Source organism: Homo sapiens, chromosome 8 (assembly GCF_000001405.40).
Source record: "Homo sapiens chromosome 8, GRCh38.p14 Primary Assembly".
NCBI classification, from domain to species: Eukaryota; Metazoa; Chordata; class Mammalia; order Primates; family Hominidae; genus Homo; species Homo sapiens.
In genome coordinates this window covers 25967990-25985556 of record NC_000008.11, presented here as the reverse complement: position 1 = coordinate 25985556, position 17567 = coordinate 25967990, and the positions used below count along the sequence as shown (strand labels likewise).

The window sequence follows — 17567 nt, the reverse complement described above, 5'->3', positions numbered from 1 at the left end:
GAAACCCAGAGAGGTTAAGTGACTTACCGAAGGCCACACAGCCATTTAGTGGCAGCACTATAGGGTTTTTTTCTGTTCAGAAAGTATGTTCTCAAGTATGTGCCTGGCATCGTCATTAGAGCGAGGCTGACTCTGGAAACCTCTCTACTTCCCCAGACCGTTGGTTCTGCCTTGCTGTCTGGAGGCCTCCCACCTGGGTTTACTGATGGGGAAATTTTATGTGGATATCATGTACAAGGAAATCTGCTGTGGCACTGTATATTTTATATGTAGCCACTGGGTATTTCAGAGAAGGCAGCAGCTAAATTCCCAGCCAATTCTAAAGGGCACTCTTACACTTGGTGTTGGCAGAGAAGTGAGGGGAGGTCTAGCTGCATGGAGCCCTGGAGGGCTTTGAGACGTTGGAGGCTTGAGTTATCCTGGTTAATTTCCAGTTTGGTAGGGTTCTTCCTGGTTGCAGCCCATGCCTTGCTCAGTTCTGTTTTATCACTTTTCAAATATAAAACAATCCCCCTGTCTCCCTTAAGAGCAGAGTTTACGGTCCCTAAGATCTTCTGGAGACAGAAGAAAGATACCTTTTCCTTTGCTTATTGTAGAGCCATAATTTTTTTTTTTTTTTTCAGAAGCTGAGTTTTTAAAGAAGTTTCTCAGTTTCAGGAGGTGGGTGGATAAAAATCTTTGAGAACACCCAGGAAGGGTGGCTGTGGATCTGAGCTGTGCAGATCTCACTCTGTAAAAATCTCAAGGCCTCCACTGGAAGCAAAAACCTTGGGCTGTTCCCAAAATGTAGATATCAAAGAATACTGGGCAAATTTCATTACCTAGAAGCAGGGGTTTCTGAGGTGCAATCAGGCAAATGGGTCTTTTTTTTTTTTGAGATGGAGTCTTGCTCTGTCGCCCAGGCTGGAGTGCAGTGGCACCCTGTCGGCTCATTGCAACCTCCGCCTCCCGGTTTCAAGCAATTCTCCTGTCTCAGCCTCCCGAGTCGCTGGAACTGCAGGCGTGCGCCACCAGGCCTGGCTAATTTTTAAATTTTTGGTAGAGACGGGGTTTCTCCACATTGACCAGCTGTTCTCGAACTCCTGACCTCAGGTCATCCACCCACCTCGGCTTCCCAAAGTGCTGGGGATTACAGGCGTGAGCCACCGCGCCCAGCCGCGAATGGGTCTTATGGATTTTTTTTCAGGCTCTGTGCCTTGTAAATGTTGGAAAACCTGGGTTTTGGGGGTATATTTACATATGCTCTTAATTATATAGTTGATGCAACTGTGTGCTAATCTGACACTCACATTAAGTCAGCCAATATTGTTTCAGTAAAACAGTGGTTCACAGTGCTCTGTGAAATGCCTGAGTTGTTACAATCTTCCCAAATTTGGGAGACCCAGCTCCTTCTCGGTTTCGCATTCCGGAAATAATTTATTTGGATTCTAGTTTACACACAAGTACACATGGAATCACACAAAGGTACACACCTTTTGGTTTACTCTTTCCTGTCTTTGACGTTGGTACCCGCAGCTATGTGCTGTTAAAGGAGAAAGCCCCGCACATGGCAGGGTGGCCAATGTTGAGGGAATGCTGCTATCCACTGCTAAAGAAATGCTTAGTTGTAATTTTTTGGGAAGCAGTCATTGAACAGTTATTTTGGGGTATCTTTTAAATAGCGCCCCACTGACGTGGAAGGATAAAGTTCGCAAAGCAAAGCTTTTGATTTTTAAATCGACATTGATACCAAGCGGTGAAGTCCTTTGTTATGTCTTCAGCACTCGGGTGTCAGCTGATCCATATGCACCGGTGGGCACACCCAGCGAGTTTTCATAATTCATAAGCAGCGAGGCCCCTGATGAGCAGAGGCTATACACAGCTAGAGCCCGGGGTTGTGCTGAGGAAGCTGGGGCCGGCTGGGGTGAATGCTGGGGATTGGAACTAGGGAGTCCTGGCTTTTCCTGTCATTCCAGCTTCCTGGGTAGTGTTAGGAACCCACAACCCAGTCCCAAATTAGTTCCCAGTAGACAGCTGGGGATGAGGGCAGGAGAGTGAATGACACTTTCTCATTGGAGGCAGCGCTGAGCCTGGAGTCAGAGAACTTCTGTTTAAGGTTTTCTTTTAAATTATAAAACGAAATAACAAAACAAAAAAGTCTGGAACATAGAAGAAGAAAAAAGTCGCTGTAACTTTCAGCCCTTTTGCATCATTACTTTCGCTTTTGTGTGTCCCCTTCCGTCTTTTTCACAGGCGCATTTTTACACGTTTGAGTCCACATGATTTTGTGGTGTTATTTTAACTTTCACACTCAATGATGCACATTTTCCATGCTTTCATAGATTCTTCATCTTTCTTAAATGGGAAATACTATTCCATTGGGTGGGTAGATATGACATAATGTATGCGACCATTTCTACACTATTTTTGATATATGGGAGTTCCGTCTTTAACTTGTAAAAATGCTGTGATTTGAACGTGCTCGTGCATGCGGAGGGGATGCGTTTGTGATTCCTGGTTCCACTGGAGGTTAGCTAAGTGATTTGTAGAAAGTCATTGGACCGCTTTGAATCTTATTTTTTACCAGAGAATTGAGATTATTGTACCTATTTTACTGACAAATATAAGCCTTATACATAGAAATTTATAAATTTAACATAATATATAAAGATATATTGATATGTAATTACACATTTGTATATACTATGTTTACATATGTTACAAAATAATAGAGCACAGATTTTTGCATAGGTCACTCTTTTGTGTTTCTGTTTAATTACATGGTGGGTTCTATAGTGTGAAAACCAAAATAATTTAAATCACCCTGAACTTTCCCCCAGCACCTCTCAGAGGTGGAGGGGAGACAAGGTGCTGGGAAAATCAGGCAGCACTGGTGTGTTACTATTCTTAAAAGGTTAGGGGCCACAGAGTAGCTTCAATGGCCTTGGAAGGTGGTATAAATGCAGATCAATGAAATCTGCATACAGTTCTCCAACCTCCTTTTAGATAGAAGTTTCTTTCAGTGTCCTGCCCATGGAGTCTTACATTAAAACTCTTCCCCTGGGAATGATCTGAGTTTCACCTTTCACTCCCCATGACCACTTACTTTTTGGTGGAGGTTCAAGGGGCAAGGAGTGAGGAGGAGGGTGAAGGGATGAGGGAGCGGGGCCACAGCTCCCTGGCTGGGGCCTGTGCTGTGGACTCCAGCTGACATAGTGTTCAGGCTCAGTCCCACCCAGCCAGCATTCTGGGAACTGGGAGAATCAGCAGTTCAGTGTGGGTGTTCTAGGCAGTTTTCTCACCACTTCCCATTTAGCAAATGTCTGAAGGAATAGCTCACAGAATTGGCAGTGGAGTTCAGAACATTGGTGTATGGGAAAAGAAGAACTTCAACTGTTTTTGAAGCATAAATGGGAACTGAAGCCCAGGTGTCTGAGAGCAGAGAACTAAAAATGCCCATCCCAATCCAAACTCTAATTGGGTCAACTTTATATATAATACGAGGGGCTGAAATCACAGGAAACCTCCCTCCGTGACAAATGCAGCTAGGTACCTTTTGTAAAACTTAGTCCACGAGCTATGTTAGACTCTACCAGATAGCCTTTGGTTTGCAAAAAATTTTATTCTATTATCCAATTGTGAAACCCTTAATTTGCATTTAACTGTCAGATTATTTTGAAAATTTACATCTAGATCTTTCCATTTAAGGAAAGGAGAACTGGGCATCTATTCCATATACTGTTTTGCTGGATGAATAACTACACAGATTTTTTTTTTTTTTTTTAAGATGGAGTCTCAATCTCACCCAGGCTGGAGTGCAGTGGTGCCATCTTAGCTCACTGCAACCTCTGCCTCCCAGGTTCAAGTGATTCTCCTGCCTCAGCCTCCCTAGTAGCTGGGATTACAGGTGCCTGCTACCACTCCTGGCTAATTTTTGAATTTTTAGTAGAGACGGGATTTTGCCACGTTGGCCAGGCTGGTCTCAAACTCCTGACCTCAGGTGATCCACCTCGGTTTCCCAAAGTACTGATAGGCGTGAGCCACCACATCGGGCCTTCCACAGGTTTTTACACTGGGAAATGCAGGTGCATGTTGTCTGACTGCATTGGTTCATGCTTTTCCTTCCCACTTCCATTGCCCTATCCATTTCATTTTGGAACCCAGATACTCCAGTTCCAAAATGAAATGGATAGGGCAATGGAAGTTTGCCTTGCAACAATTGACAGGAATCACAGAGCATCGACTTCGTACTCTTGATACAGTGCTAGGTGAGGGAAGATGGGATGGGGGCAGGAATCTGGCCAAGGTCTAGGCCACTCCTGTTGCTTAGAAGTTAGAAGCAAGGAGATGAAAAAAATGCATGTGTAAAGGGAGTGATGCAAGGCAGCAGAGCATTGAGACCTCACTGCGTGGTTGGCACAGGTGGTGGCAGCCAAATCAGGGGTCATCAGGGAGGGTGAAGAAGGAGGCTTCGGGGGCAGAGCAGGGAGGAGCAAGGCTTAGAGAGGAACAAACGAGATGTTCTTCAAGTTTCAGGCAGAAGCAAAGCCATTCCTGGAGCTGGGAACCAAAACTGTGTGGTAGTTGAAGTTCTCTGTTCATGGACTTTCTACCACTGAGCTGGTTACACCTTCCCCAGGACAGGTCACAGTTACTCCAGGGGTGAAGGGGGTCACCCCCCACCACAGTGCTGGGGTTGCAGTTTTCTCATGGGTTCCCAATGACACCCCTCCCCCACTGCTTTCCTCCAAGGCATTTGGCATCTTTTTTTTTTTTTTTTTTTTTTTTTTGTGGTGGCCTCCCAGTGTCATTAGGCAAGTCAAAGGTCATCGGTCTAGAAATTGACACACTTGACCCATTTCCTTTCTGCACTGGACCTGGAGTCTGGAGCAGCTCCCCCTGGGACCATGTGAAGGGCTTGAAGCTGAGTCTTCAGTGCTTTCTTCCCATGAGGTGTATAATTCGATATTTATTGCCTCTCTCCCCAGCAAGGTCTATGGTGCCACTGGGATCCATTCGGTAAAGAATGCTGATCCCCCTTATGAATTTTTGATGGTGGAGGAGGAGCATTGGAGGCCACTGGGGGACCTTGTGAAATGGAAATGTTTTTTCTTTTTGATCTTTCTTTTTTCTTTTCTTTCCTTCCTTCCTTTACAGCACGCTTACCATTGTTGCAATGTCTGGACTTCTCTGAATGTCAGTGTGTACTCTCTTTAAAAGAAGGAAGAATCATAGTTCTTTAAAGCAGCAGCCTCAACAGCTCCTTACACGTTTAACTGTGTTTACAACAGTGGAAACGTGTTGTATCTCTTCAGGAAGAGAGATATTCAGGTCAAGAAACAAAAATTCAAAATAAAACAGAGCAACAAATAAGGTTCACTCTGGAATGGGAGAGGGTAAAGGATGCCCCTCCCACCCCCGCTTTTCCGTTTTTTGGTGGTCTGAGGGGGTAGCACCCAAGGGAATGAGAGAGTCAGGATCTGTATTTCATTGCTGAGAATTTGACAGCTACAGTGCAAAGCAATACAGTCCTGCTTTTTATTAGCCTGTGTGAGTCCAGCACAGAATGAAGCTTTTTTTTTCCTTTTCATTTTTCAGAGGTAGAAGTTTTTGCCAAACTATGAGATGATTTAACCACAATTTCCTTCCTGAATTTTTTTTGCTAAAAGGGGGAGGGGATGGTTGGGTGGGTGTTATTGTTTAATAAGATTTAAACAGGGTCTCTATTTTGTGGCCGGAACAGCCTTTCATGCCCTTTATCTGTACTGGGATTTCAGCTGGGTTTTTATTTTGGTGACATATGGCCCATCGTATAATAAAAAGAGACGAACCATTCAGATTTAATTTGAGTGGCTAAGGACGTCAGAAGGGCTGCAAGGGGAGGCTGTACCTGAGCTTTCATTTGTTTAAAAAAAAAATTGTACAGAGAAGTTGAGAAGGTGACTTTTGGAATTAGTTTGGTTTGGAGGCATTAAGTCCCAGATCAAGAGAGAAGGTCAATTTGTAAGTTTGGGAGATATGCCAGCCCTGCTCTCTCTTTTATTGGAGAATTGCCTGTGGGGCCTTTCAGAGTATCTGCCCTTCAGGGGTCCTGTGTTCCACCTGCTTCCCCCTTAAACAGGGAAATGGGCTTTTAAAAATATTACGCAGCACGCCACAGCCATCTCCTGATCCGAATGCCGTGTGGCATGACACAATGTGACTCGAGGGCCGGGGGCAGGGCGAGGGTTTGCAGCTGCCACATGGTGCTCGTCCCGTGCAGGGACCGTTTCTTAGCCCAGCGTGCAGTTCCCTTGGAGGACACGGCCCACCTGGCCTCCACATACCCCTGGCAGCCTGCCCAAATCATTTTCTCTCCTTTCACCCTCAAACACTGTCGTGGAAGAAATGCTTTTTGCATCTGCGGGACACACAGCAACTTGGGATGGTTTTGTGGGCTTTGGGTGTGACAGTGACAGAGCCAGCAGAGAGATTCGTGCAGCCACACAGGAATCTCACCATCATTTTCTATGTGGATCCTTCACAAGGGTGTGTGTTCAGATGAGCTACGGTATTCGGAGAACCCTCCGTGTCACAAGATTAAGGGTGCTGCGTGGTTTGAGCAGCCCGTTTTCCAGCCTGAAGCCACTGCAAGCTGCAGAGTGAACCAACCCGCACCACTCCGCCCCCCGCCCAGCGTCAGACCCTTTATTTACCTTCCATGTCATAATGCACGTCTTTGGCATCGTCTTTTACAAGCTTTCATTACCGCATGGATTGTGTCCACTGTGCACCGAAGGGCCCCTTTGTGTTGCTTCTGATTAACTGCAATGACAGCATTTGATACTACTCCATGTGCCGGAGGAAGGCGCCTTGGTTATGTTTCCTTGGGCAAAGCACATGCCATGGCGGGGTTGAGTGTTGTGGGGGTCCCATTTCCTAGGTGTGCTCAGGTTCTGAACCTGCAGCCAGAGGGCGAAGCGCACCTTTCCGCTTTCATTCATGTGGGGCTCAGGAGGGCTGCACCTTGTTTTCTTTAGCTCCCAGAAACAGCTTGGTTTGGACCATTGCTGCGATGCCCCTCATCGCCATCATGGGATAACCAGGATGACCATCTCGGTCGCTCTCCCAGCCAGCTGCCAATAGCATTCCTGATTTATTTGCAGCAACTTGGAGATCCGCAGCTAACAGCCATCTTGATGGGAAACAGCACTATAATTGCTTGGGGAGAAAGGCAGGCATTTAGCAGTCGTAAAAGAAAATCTGCCCACCACCAAACCAAATGCCGCTGCTCTCCTTCCATGTGGCGCGGCCACGTTACCCCCAACCCGAGGCCCCTCAAGGTGGGCCTGGGGCTTCCCTGGCTTTTTAATCCTCTCCATTTTGAATCTGGGGTTTGCGTGATTCTTTCTTCTTCCTTTTGGGGTAGACGGAGCACATGGGGAGGGGGCTGCAGTATTCAATGCATAGTTTCTGGGGCTTCCAGTGTGACGAGGGTTCGGTGACAGGAGCTACTGATGGCCTCTGGGGCTGTCCAGCAGCCTGTGACCACAGTTGATCAGCTGGGGGTTTGTGGTGCTATCTCCCTCTTCAAAGTGACAACGGGATAGGGTCAAGAAAAAAAAATTGCAGTAAAGCTCAAGTCAAACCAAAAGTCAGGCTAGAGGGGAAAATAATGAAATAATAATGATCCCTAACTTATCCCCCTTCTGTGGGCATCACAGACGTTGCTTTCTTCCCTCAGGTACTCATGTTATCTTAGTCTCTGTCTGCAGTCCCCAACTCACCTTATATTTCTGTAGCCAGGAAAATGTGTCTTTGACACGTGTCATAGAAGAAACTGTCAGCCAATAGCATTTGTACATGTGCACTTCGGGCAAGGAAGTCAAAGCTGACTTGGAATGAACCCTGTTCATGCTAGGGGTGAGATCAGAGAGGACCACCACTTCCTTGTCCGGGAACAAAGGCATAACTAGCTTGTTTGAAGAAGGTGCTTTCTTCATGCTCCTGACTTCCTTTCTTTCTCTTCTTCTTCCTCTTCTTGCTCTTCTACTTACCTTCTTCTATCGTGGTCAGAACATAGCTGGGGGCGAGAGAGAAGATTGAGGGTTTTGTGGCTTGGAAAATCAATTATCACTCCTCATGCCTTTATCAAGCACCCCTCTGCATGTGGGGTGCTGTGTAGAAAATGTGCAAAATCACAGGCCCTACCCCCTTTAACTGGGGGAAGGAAGCTCGTGTTTGATAGAGGAATTGGGTTCAGCTGGGCTCAAGTGTCTACTGCTCTGTCCAGGATTAAATGAGATAAACTGTGGGGAAGTACCTGACCCGCTGGGAGCATGCGATGTGCACGTATTAAGGGGACAGCTCTGAAACCCCGCCCTGCCCTTCACTGTACCCCGAGCCACTTCTCCCTTGCACAGAGCTGCCTGATAGTCAGAGATCCGTGCCAGGGAATGAGGGCAGGCTCTGGGTTTGGAAATGCCTCTGCTGTATTCCCTAATCAGATCTCAGTCAGATAACAGCTCAGACCTGGGAACATGAGATTTTAATGTGAAATGAATAAGTACCCTGAGACTGAAGCTTGTCACTGCTGCACATCTGGAATCACTTACAGCTGGGTAAATTCACTGGGAGCTGCAACTCAAGAGAACATGGAGTTTAAAAGGAGGTGCACAGAGCGTTCCTTTTAATGTCTAAACAGTCTGATGTTGACAAGCCTTTCACATTAACCCCAAAGTGGCAAAGTTTAAACCCTTTATTATCCGATTCTGTTTGGCAAATCATTTAGAGGCTTAAGAGTCCATGTTTACCGGGAAAAGGCCAATCTTTATTTTTGTCTTCTTCCAACACAAGCAACCCTAATGTATACACATTTATGTTTACTTAGAAGGTTTAAAAGACCTTCAGCATTAAGTGAGAATCAGGCTAGAGAAAGAAGATTTTTGTTTTGTTTTGTTTTTAAGAAAGCCCCTCATCTCTTTAGAATACAAAAGGCATGAGCATTGCAAACTCTGGAAACTATATCAGATTAACAAATAAGTAAAGAAGAAATACAGGAAATCATTTCCAAATATTATTAGTCCTCAGTCGAAATATACTGTGTCTTGGCAGCTCAGCCCAACTCTGTGTCATTTTCCTAAGGATTTGCCCAGAATGTTATGAGTGACTCTAAAGACGGTGAATGGTAGTTTGGGTTCTATAGGGGACTACAAAATATTATGGAAGTTAGAAAGCTTAATAGTCGAGCAGTGCTTAATAACCATCTATTGGACCTGTTTCCAAATTGGCAAAATTTTACGGATCTCCATTACAGCATGTGAAAGAACATGGAAAAAGACTGCAAGTGGTTTCAAGACCTTGATTCAATAATAATTTAATAATTTCAACCACATCTATGAAAAGCGATGAAGACATTTTAATTCATCTTCATAAAAAGCATGATGCAAGAGAGTTGAATTTTTAATTTTCATTGGAGGAGGGTTTTCATAGTAATTGAATTTATTATTATTTTATTTTAAAGAAGACCCCAAACTAAGAACATGAGTAAATCTGACTCTACAGAAGGGATCTCTGTGGACGTTTCTGGCTTTGGTTTGAATCCTATCGAAGAAGTTCATAAAGATTAAGATTGCAGCATAGTTTGGACCACAGCTGTTCATCCTTTAGATGTAATTTTTAACTTTTCTTTGGCAGCTGCTCAAATTCAAATCTGAAATCACCAGTTATCAGCTTTGCTGAAACAGAATTTTCAGATTCTGGGATAATTTTCTGCCTATTAACCCTCCCCAGTAATCGTGTGCACTGTGTCAATTTTTACCTCTCAGGATACTGTAGAGTTACTGTAGAAATGAAAATAAAACTTTTTAAAATGTTGCTTGGGAACATAAATACTCATTTAACATAATCCTGCAGGTTTGGGTTAGGCAAGCAAAAGATGAAAGACTCTTAGAATCTTGTTTATACAAAAATATTTCCTATAGCACAGTTTTTAAAACTGAAAATGAAATCAGGCTCTGTACATTTCAAATATTTCATTTAATAAAGCCAGCGTATATGATCAGCATATTAATAACCTGCAAAGCATATTATTCAACTTATAAAGGCTTAGCTGTCTACTTAATCCTGTCGCACTATTTAACCGGGAAAAATGTACATCTGAATTTTATCCTGAAGAAGTGATAAGAAAGGAATCTGATATTGCTTTCAGTGTCTGTCTACATTACATTATGTGCCTGTGGTGTGTTTTACTGAGACAGTTGATTCTGTACCAACTAAACTTCATCGAGAATGAAACCTCCAAGGCCTTTTCAGTTTTGCATGATGTTAAACTGCTGTAAAATTTGAAACATGTATCGTTTCTTTCATTTTCCCCTGTAGTCCCTGCTCACCCGGGCTGAGCAGAGGATGTGATTTTCAGCGCAGTAGTTCCTGGGTTAACAGGCGCTTCTGAGGCCAGGATGTGAAGTTTCATTTTATTTTTTCTGACTTGGGTGTATGGTGTTTTAGGAGTGGGATTTCGAGCCGAGGTTGCAACTGCTTTAACTTTGTGGTCTCTGATTAATCTCTTTGCTTTGTTTCTCTGGTAGAAACACCACCACCACTGAAGGTAATGCTTATTTGAGAAATTGATGTCAGCTTAGTAACAAGAGGGGCGGGGCAGCCGGTAGCTTGATTGTTCTGGATGAGCTATCAGGGATCTGCTGGGAATACTGGTGCTTCGACCCTGATGGCCCTCAAAGTGCTGAGTGTGGAAAATGGGAAGTCTCCCCGGATCTCAAAATGCACAGGATGTCAGAAAAATGCAGTTCTTGGAAAACTGTATTTTTTTGGCTACAGTAGGATGGGGGGGCAGGGGGAGTTTGGCAGGAAGGAAAGCAGGGACTCATAATTATTTTGCCGTCCAAGTTCCAGTGTCTTTATTGTTACTATATTTGTATATTGTCAGAAATAGTTTTTAAAATACTAACTAAAATATATTTTAAATCACTTAATTGAAGAGCAAAATTCTAACTCAGTTTTTTGTTTAGTCCACACCACATTAAAAGTTCAAACTAAGATTTTATCAAGTTTTCTGGCTCTAGGCACTAATTGATAGCTAAATCAGCTTTTCCCAATCAGGTAAAAGGATAGAAGTTTTCACTTTGATAACTGGGATACTTCTCCAGCAATTGTTTCAGCTATAGTCAGCACAAGGAGATACAGTGTACTTGGATCAAATCTTTCATTTACTCTTACTTTCTGGAGATGGTCAGGCCAGCAGGATGAACTCACTCGTTGCTCAAATCAGCAGTGGGATGACAGGAAGTCAGTGGGAGATGCTGGCAAGAGCACCAGGTGAGGAGTCTTGGGTCCTGGAGCCTGGTCTGGTTTTGCCCACTCCATCTGTGACCTGTGCCACTTCCCCTTGGTGCTTAGTGAGCTCATCCGTAAAATCAGAGTCAGACAACATGATCTCACCTGCCTCTTCCTACTCTAAAATTTGCGTGTTTGGTAAGAACTGTAAAATCTTTTGCATTGTTTCCATTTGGAATTCTCATAGAGATGTGGTGCTCAGACCTCACATTTTCTGGAAATGAGCAGAAAGCCCTATAGGTTTTCTAATAGAAATGAAAAGCTTAGGCTGGGTGTGGTGGCTCACACCTGTAATCCCAGCACTTCGGGAGGCTGAGGTGGGTGAATTGCTTGCTCCCAGGAGTTTGTGAGATCAGCCTGGGCAACATAGTGAGACCCTGTCTTTATAAATAATACAAAAATTAGCCCTTTGTGGTGGTGCATACCTGTTGTCCCAGCTACTAGGGAGGCTGAGGTGGGAAGATCGTTTGAGCCCAGGAGGTGGAGGCTGCAGTGGGCCATGATCCTGTCACTGCATTCCACTTGGGCAACAGAGTGTGACCCTGTCTCAAAAAACTAAAAAGAAAAACAAAAGAAAAACAGACTAGCTTCAAGGGGGAAAAACAATCTAACAAAGCAGACAGATTTGAGGATGGAAATGTGATTTGAGAGTTGTTTGTTTTCTTTTAAGTTAACTTTTATTAAAATGTAGTTTGCATTTTTAAAAAGTTAAGTTTGCTTCATCGCTGGTTTTGCACACCTTTGGAAATATCACCTCCTCCTAAATTTTCAAAGGGAAGTCAAAAATATTGCTTAACTGTGCATTCAAGCCAGTCCAGTGTGGTAGGAAACAGAAGATCTGCCCTGTAAATATGATCCAGATTAGAACAGGATCAAAGGCACTGAAATGGCTTCAGTAATATTCTGTTTAGGGGAATGAGGCTGGGCAGGGGAAAGAAAGGTATCTAGCTAAAAGGATGGAATCAGAGTTTAAAAATCCCTCAATACATATCTTAATGTTAGCTTTTTATTTTTATTTTTTTAAGTCTGCCCAAGTTCATATTTACCTGAGAGACCAGTTGGCACCTAAGGACAGCCTGGTTCTCTCAGGTAAATAAAAAACACTTTGCAGGTCACCTAATTGTGTTCCATACCCTGGAAACTGCAGGCCTCCTGGGTAAATACTGTGCTTTGGAAACTCAATGAAAAAGGAATACAAAAATGTGCAGTCCAGCTAGAGCCCAGGGTAGAACCTGCAGAGGAAACCAAAGCTCCCGCTCTTGGAGTGGGACAAGGGTGGGTGGGAGTTGGGGAGAGAGGGACTTATTTTGAAATGTAAGGCAAGTTCAAATGTGCTTTATGAAAAAGGTGATTTTCAAAAAAAAAAAAAAAAAGCCAAACTGCATTGTATTGCATATTGTACCTGCTAGTTTTCATATGAAATATCGTCTCCCCTAGTCTTTGAAATACGGCTTATATTGCCTGTGATTTTACACATCGTGGCCCACTCGGCCACCATCGCCCTCATGTATACTTTGAGCTTGGGGCACAGTGCCCGGGAACATTGGGCGTGGGTCCCGGCTTCCTCATCTTCCTGTGTGACCCTCAGCAAATCACTTTTCCTCTCTGGACTCCCTTTTGTTGGTCTGTAAAATGAGGCAGGGGTTTCCATAGTCTCTTAAATCCTTTTTTTGCTCTGACAGTCTATGAAATAATCCAAGGATTTTGTGTCAGGCTTAAAAGCTGTTATGTGCCCATTAGAAGTAATCCTACGCTGCCCATCCAGATTCTAAACTTTGCTTCCACTGATGACAGGGGAGGGTCATTTGATCCTCCCAAGCCACACCCCATCCCCCTCCAAAATATACCACCCCAAAGCCACCCCCAAAGGAAGGTGCTGTTTGCTGAAGGAAGTCTGAGGCAGCTCTTCCCATCTCAGACCCAAGGTGAGGGATGGTGCCTCCCTCAATCCCTAGTCATGGGTGGACCAAGATTGTAATTGTTGGCTCCCTCGGGGTCTACGAAGGAGGGGACCTTGTGATCCGTGATTGCTGTTGTCAGGGAGAGCCTGTCTGACGTGAGGCCTGGAAAGCCCCGCTCCAGGTCAGCATGCTCCTCTCTGTTGATTTCTGCACCCTAGCTCTCTTCCCTTTGCATTCCGGGGAACAGCCACGTAGTCCCCACTCTCTGTCCAGGATGCTTGTCTCTTGTCAGCTGGAGCCAGCTCTGCCACCCCCTTGCAGAGCACTAACCTTTTGATTTAACTTTATTTGCCGCAGCAGGACTACCACCGAAAGGGGAACAATGCGCCCTGGCCATCTGGCCCTGGCCGCCTGAGGCGCCCAGCCTTGCAGCCCAGGGTTCTTGGAGGGGCCGCTCGAGCTGTAGAGCAGACTCCCACCAGCCTCCCTAGACGGGTGCCCTATTTTTGTTTTTTTGCAAATCAACCTTTTAAAATCCAGATGCAGGCTATAGCCAGTGACTCAGAAAACCATAAATAATACAGCAGGCTTAGCTCGAGGAAAAAAAAACACAAAAAGGTGTATCTATCATTATACTTAGCCAGTAACAAGCCAAAGATAAAGTTTTGTGTTTTTTTTTCTTCCCTGTGACCCTTAAGCAAGTGTGACAAGCATTAACCTATCAATATTAGTGAGTGATTTAAAATACCAACCAACATTTGCCTGCAATAATTTCTGTTGTAAACGACTCCTTCTGGGCCCTCCTACCAATAATTTAGCGCTCATAAATCAGAACCCAGAGCGCGGTGCTTGGCTCTTGCCCTGGGCAATTCTTGAGGTCTTTTTTTCGGGGGCGGGGTCTGGAATCCAGTCACACTGTAGTGTTTCCCTCTTGTTCCCGCTGCCACCTTCATACGGGGCATTAAAGAGAACACGGATCTGCAAAATGAGACTGAACTCTGTTGCCCACGATGTCTCTGAACTTTATTTTGGTGACAGGAGGTATTGGCTTATTTTTTCATCACTCTTTCTGGACACGCTGCCAAGGAGTTAAGCTGGCTTTTGGTGGGAGGAATTCCATCTAGATTTTTCCACATTAGCCAGGTGTGTTGGAAGGTCCACTCCAAGAAGGGAATTTTTGTTGAGGTGAAACTGCTAAGAGTGGTGGTTGCTGGGTGCAGTGGCTCATGCCTGTAATCCCAGCACTTTGGGAGGCTGAGGCAGGAGGATCTCTTGAGCCCAGGAGTTCAAGGCTAGCCTGGGCAACATAGTTAGACCCTTCTCTACAGAAAACATAAAAAATATTAGCCAGGCATGGTGGCATGTGCCTGTAGTCTCAGTTACTCAGGAGGCTGAAGTGGGAGGGTTGCTTGAGCCCAGGAGTTTAAAGCTGCAGTGAGCTGTGATCGCGCCACTGCACTCCAGCCTGGGTGACAGAGCAAAATCCTGTCTCTAAATAAATAAATGAAATAAATAAATAAAGTGGAGGTTGCAGATACCAGAACATAAAGGGAGAAGAACAGCAGCAGTGAGTGACCCAGCATGAGGGGAGCAGGCACAGGGAAGTAAGGGGTGATAGAAAGTTATGGACAAGCAATAATGCAAGCACCAACCTGGCCAGAACCAGCAGGCCTCATTTCTGCAGGCTGCATCCTTCTGACCCACATTCTGGCCCGCAGAGGCAGCTTGGGTACAGTCATGCAACCGAATAACATACCCACTTCAAGGAAGGTAATTTCTTTAGAGTTAAGAGATTTATTAGGGGAGCCTGAAGAGTGGGGAGGGGGTGTTGGGGAGGGACTGAGACCCATCTGGTTTGTTGTGGGTCTTTTTTTATTAGAAGAGGAAAAAAAATTGCTCTGTGGGTTCATATGTCTAAGGAGAGCTCAATTAAAGTTATTTGCTGGAGCTTAAAATATGCCCGCACCTGCTTCAGCGCCAGGCTCCGAGACCGACACATGCTCCCAGAAGGTGGAGCAGATGAAGGCTCCTGTCGAAGCGAATGGAAGAGCAGGGGACAGACTTTCACTTACGCTTTGGTACCAGCCTAGGATGGGGATGTCAGCAAGCAATCTGGAGCAGCATCCTGGTTCATCTGGAAACCAGAGCCTGTGGTCAGCCCTGCCTGGCTGCAGCCCTCTGCAACTGCCTCTCTGGGTCAGAAGGATGCTTCTCTTTCTAAGCAGACTAGAAAGAATAGATCCAGCAGAGGGAACGACATAGAGAGACTGCATTACCCTAACCAAGTCACTTGCTTCTCTGGGTGGCCCTTTCCTCTTGATAATATGAAGGTCATAAAATCTGTTCCAAAACTCTGTGGTGAGGATAGTAAATAATATTGGCTAACATTTGCCATGCATCAGGCACTGTGCTAAGCCTGCCTTACACATCGCCCCTTTGACTTTTCACCACAACCCCAAGAAACAGATATTGCTGTCAGGCACGGTGGCATGTGCCTGTAGTCTCAGTTACTCAGGAGGCTGAAGTGGGAGGGTTGCTTGAGCCCAGGAGTTCAAAGCTGCAGTGAGCTGTGATCGCGCCACTGCCCTCCAGCCTGGGTGATAAGGAAACTGGTGCCTGGATCCATCTGTCCCCAAACCTGAGCCTTGAACAACCCTGCCTCAAAGGAGACTCATGAGTGAGAAGGAAATTCCAAATAATACAACGATAAATTTACTATGCCCTAAGATGGGCTCTAGTGAAGTAAACACGCTCTCATTGAACACACTCTTTGCCCTGTTACCATCTCAGTTTAGAAAGTGTCCTCCCGGGATAGGTGCTCCATGGATGTGGGTACTGCACTTCCTGTCTCCCAGGAGGGAGTCCAGACCTGGAGGAACTCAGAAGCGTCAGCAGGCCTTTACTCCTGTTCTCAAAAGCACAGGAGAAACCTGGAGACAAGAGTCTCGATTATCTTCTATTTTCTGAAACAGGTGATTGATCTCAGCTTCCCTTTCTAGCTCTCAGGGCTTGATGAATTCTTTATTCCTGATTCCTAGGCTTTGCGCAAGAAATGGAGCCAGTTTTAGACACCAAGGAAGGAATTCATGAATGGGACAGAGAGGAATTTGTTAACTCTCATTGATGGAGTTTGTCATTACACAGAACTGAACCTAAATCTTCTTAGACAATTCCTCCTTCGGGGTTTCACTTTGAGATGTCTTAAGAAAAGGTGTCTCCAATATGGGGGAGAGAATCCAGAGATCAATTACCATTAATCTCCATTTGAAGGGGACTTTCTGATTGTGTGATTCACTGAGATTCTTTTTTTTTTCAATCAAAATTTTTTTTTACCATTTTAAGTTTTTTAAAAAAATTATTTGTGGTAAAATACACTTACCACCTTAACCATCTTTAAGTGTGCAGTTCAGTAGTGCTAAGTACATTATTGTGCAGCCATCACCATCATCCAGCCTCAGAACTTTCATCTTAGAAAACTGACACTCTGCGGGGCACGGTGGCTCGTGCCTGTCATCCCAACACTTGGGGAGGCCTAGGCGGGCATATCACTTGAGGTCAGGACTTCAAGACCAGCCTGGCCAACACAGTGAAACCCCGTCTCTACTAAAAATACAAAAATTAGGTGTGGTGGTGTATGCCTGTAATCCCAGCTGCTGGGAGGCTGAGGCAAGAAAATCACTTGAACCCAGGGGGGTGGAGGTTGCAGTGAGCTGAGATCATGCCACAGCACTCCATCCTGGGCAACAAAGTGAGAATCCATCTGAAGCAAACAAACAATCTGTACCCATTAAACAACAACTCCCATTTTCCCCTCCCCCCAGCTACTGGCAACCACCATTCTGCTTTCTGTGTCTATGAATTTGACTGCTCTATGAACCTCATGTGAGTGGGATTATACAATATTCGTTCATAACTGGTTTATTTCACTCAGCATAATGTCCTCAAGGCTTATCCATGTTGTAGCGTATGTCAGAATTTCCTTCATTTTTAAGGCTGAATACTATTCCAGTATATGGTTATACCATATTTTTCTATCCTTTCATCTGTTGATGGACACTTCAGGTTGCTTCTACCATTTGGCAATGGTGAATCGCACTGCTTTGAACATTGTACAAATTACTCTTCAAACCCTGCTTCCAGTTCTTCTGGGGAGATAGATATCCACAAATGGAATTGCTCGATCATGATTCACCGAGATTAAGTAGCTGTGAAGTGTCCTGTCCTTCATTAAATAGCCCACCTATGTGCAGAAAAAAATACTGACTACAGCCTATACTTTGGGGACATTTAAAAAGTTTTTCTGCTGATTCTTTCAGGTAAGCTGCATACTGTAAGTGCATATTGTATGCATCT

General features: G+C 44.8%; 1 protein-coding gene across 1 annotated transcript in view, besides 2 other annotated features; it reads left to right on the top strand.

Annotated features, from left to right (window-relative positions):
• Positions 1 to 17567, top strand: part of EBF2 (EBF transcription factor 2) — a 203689-nt gene that overhangs the window by 59857 nt on the left and 126265 nt on the right. The window lies entirely within an intron of this gene.
• Positions 5681 to 6196: an enhancer, noted in NCBI's record as "H3K4me1 hESC enhancer chr8:25836877-25837392 (GRCh37/hg19 assembly coordinates)". NCBI's record gives its function as "activates a minimal SCP1, AML or CMV promoter by ChIP-STARR-seq in primed H9 embryonic stem cells {active_cell/tissue: H9 hESC(primed)}" and the evidence as "EXISTENCE:reporter gene assay evidence [ECO:0000049][PMID:30033119]".
• Positions 6197 to 6714: an enhancer, noted in NCBI's record as "H3K4me1 hESC enhancer chr8:25836359-25836876 (GRCh37/hg19 assembly coordinates)". NCBI's record gives its function as "activates a minimal SCP1, AML or CMV promoter by ChIP-STARR-seq in primed H9 embryonic stem cells {active_cell/tissue: H9 hESC(primed)}" and the evidence as "EXISTENCE:reporter gene assay evidence [ECO:0000049][PMID:30033119]".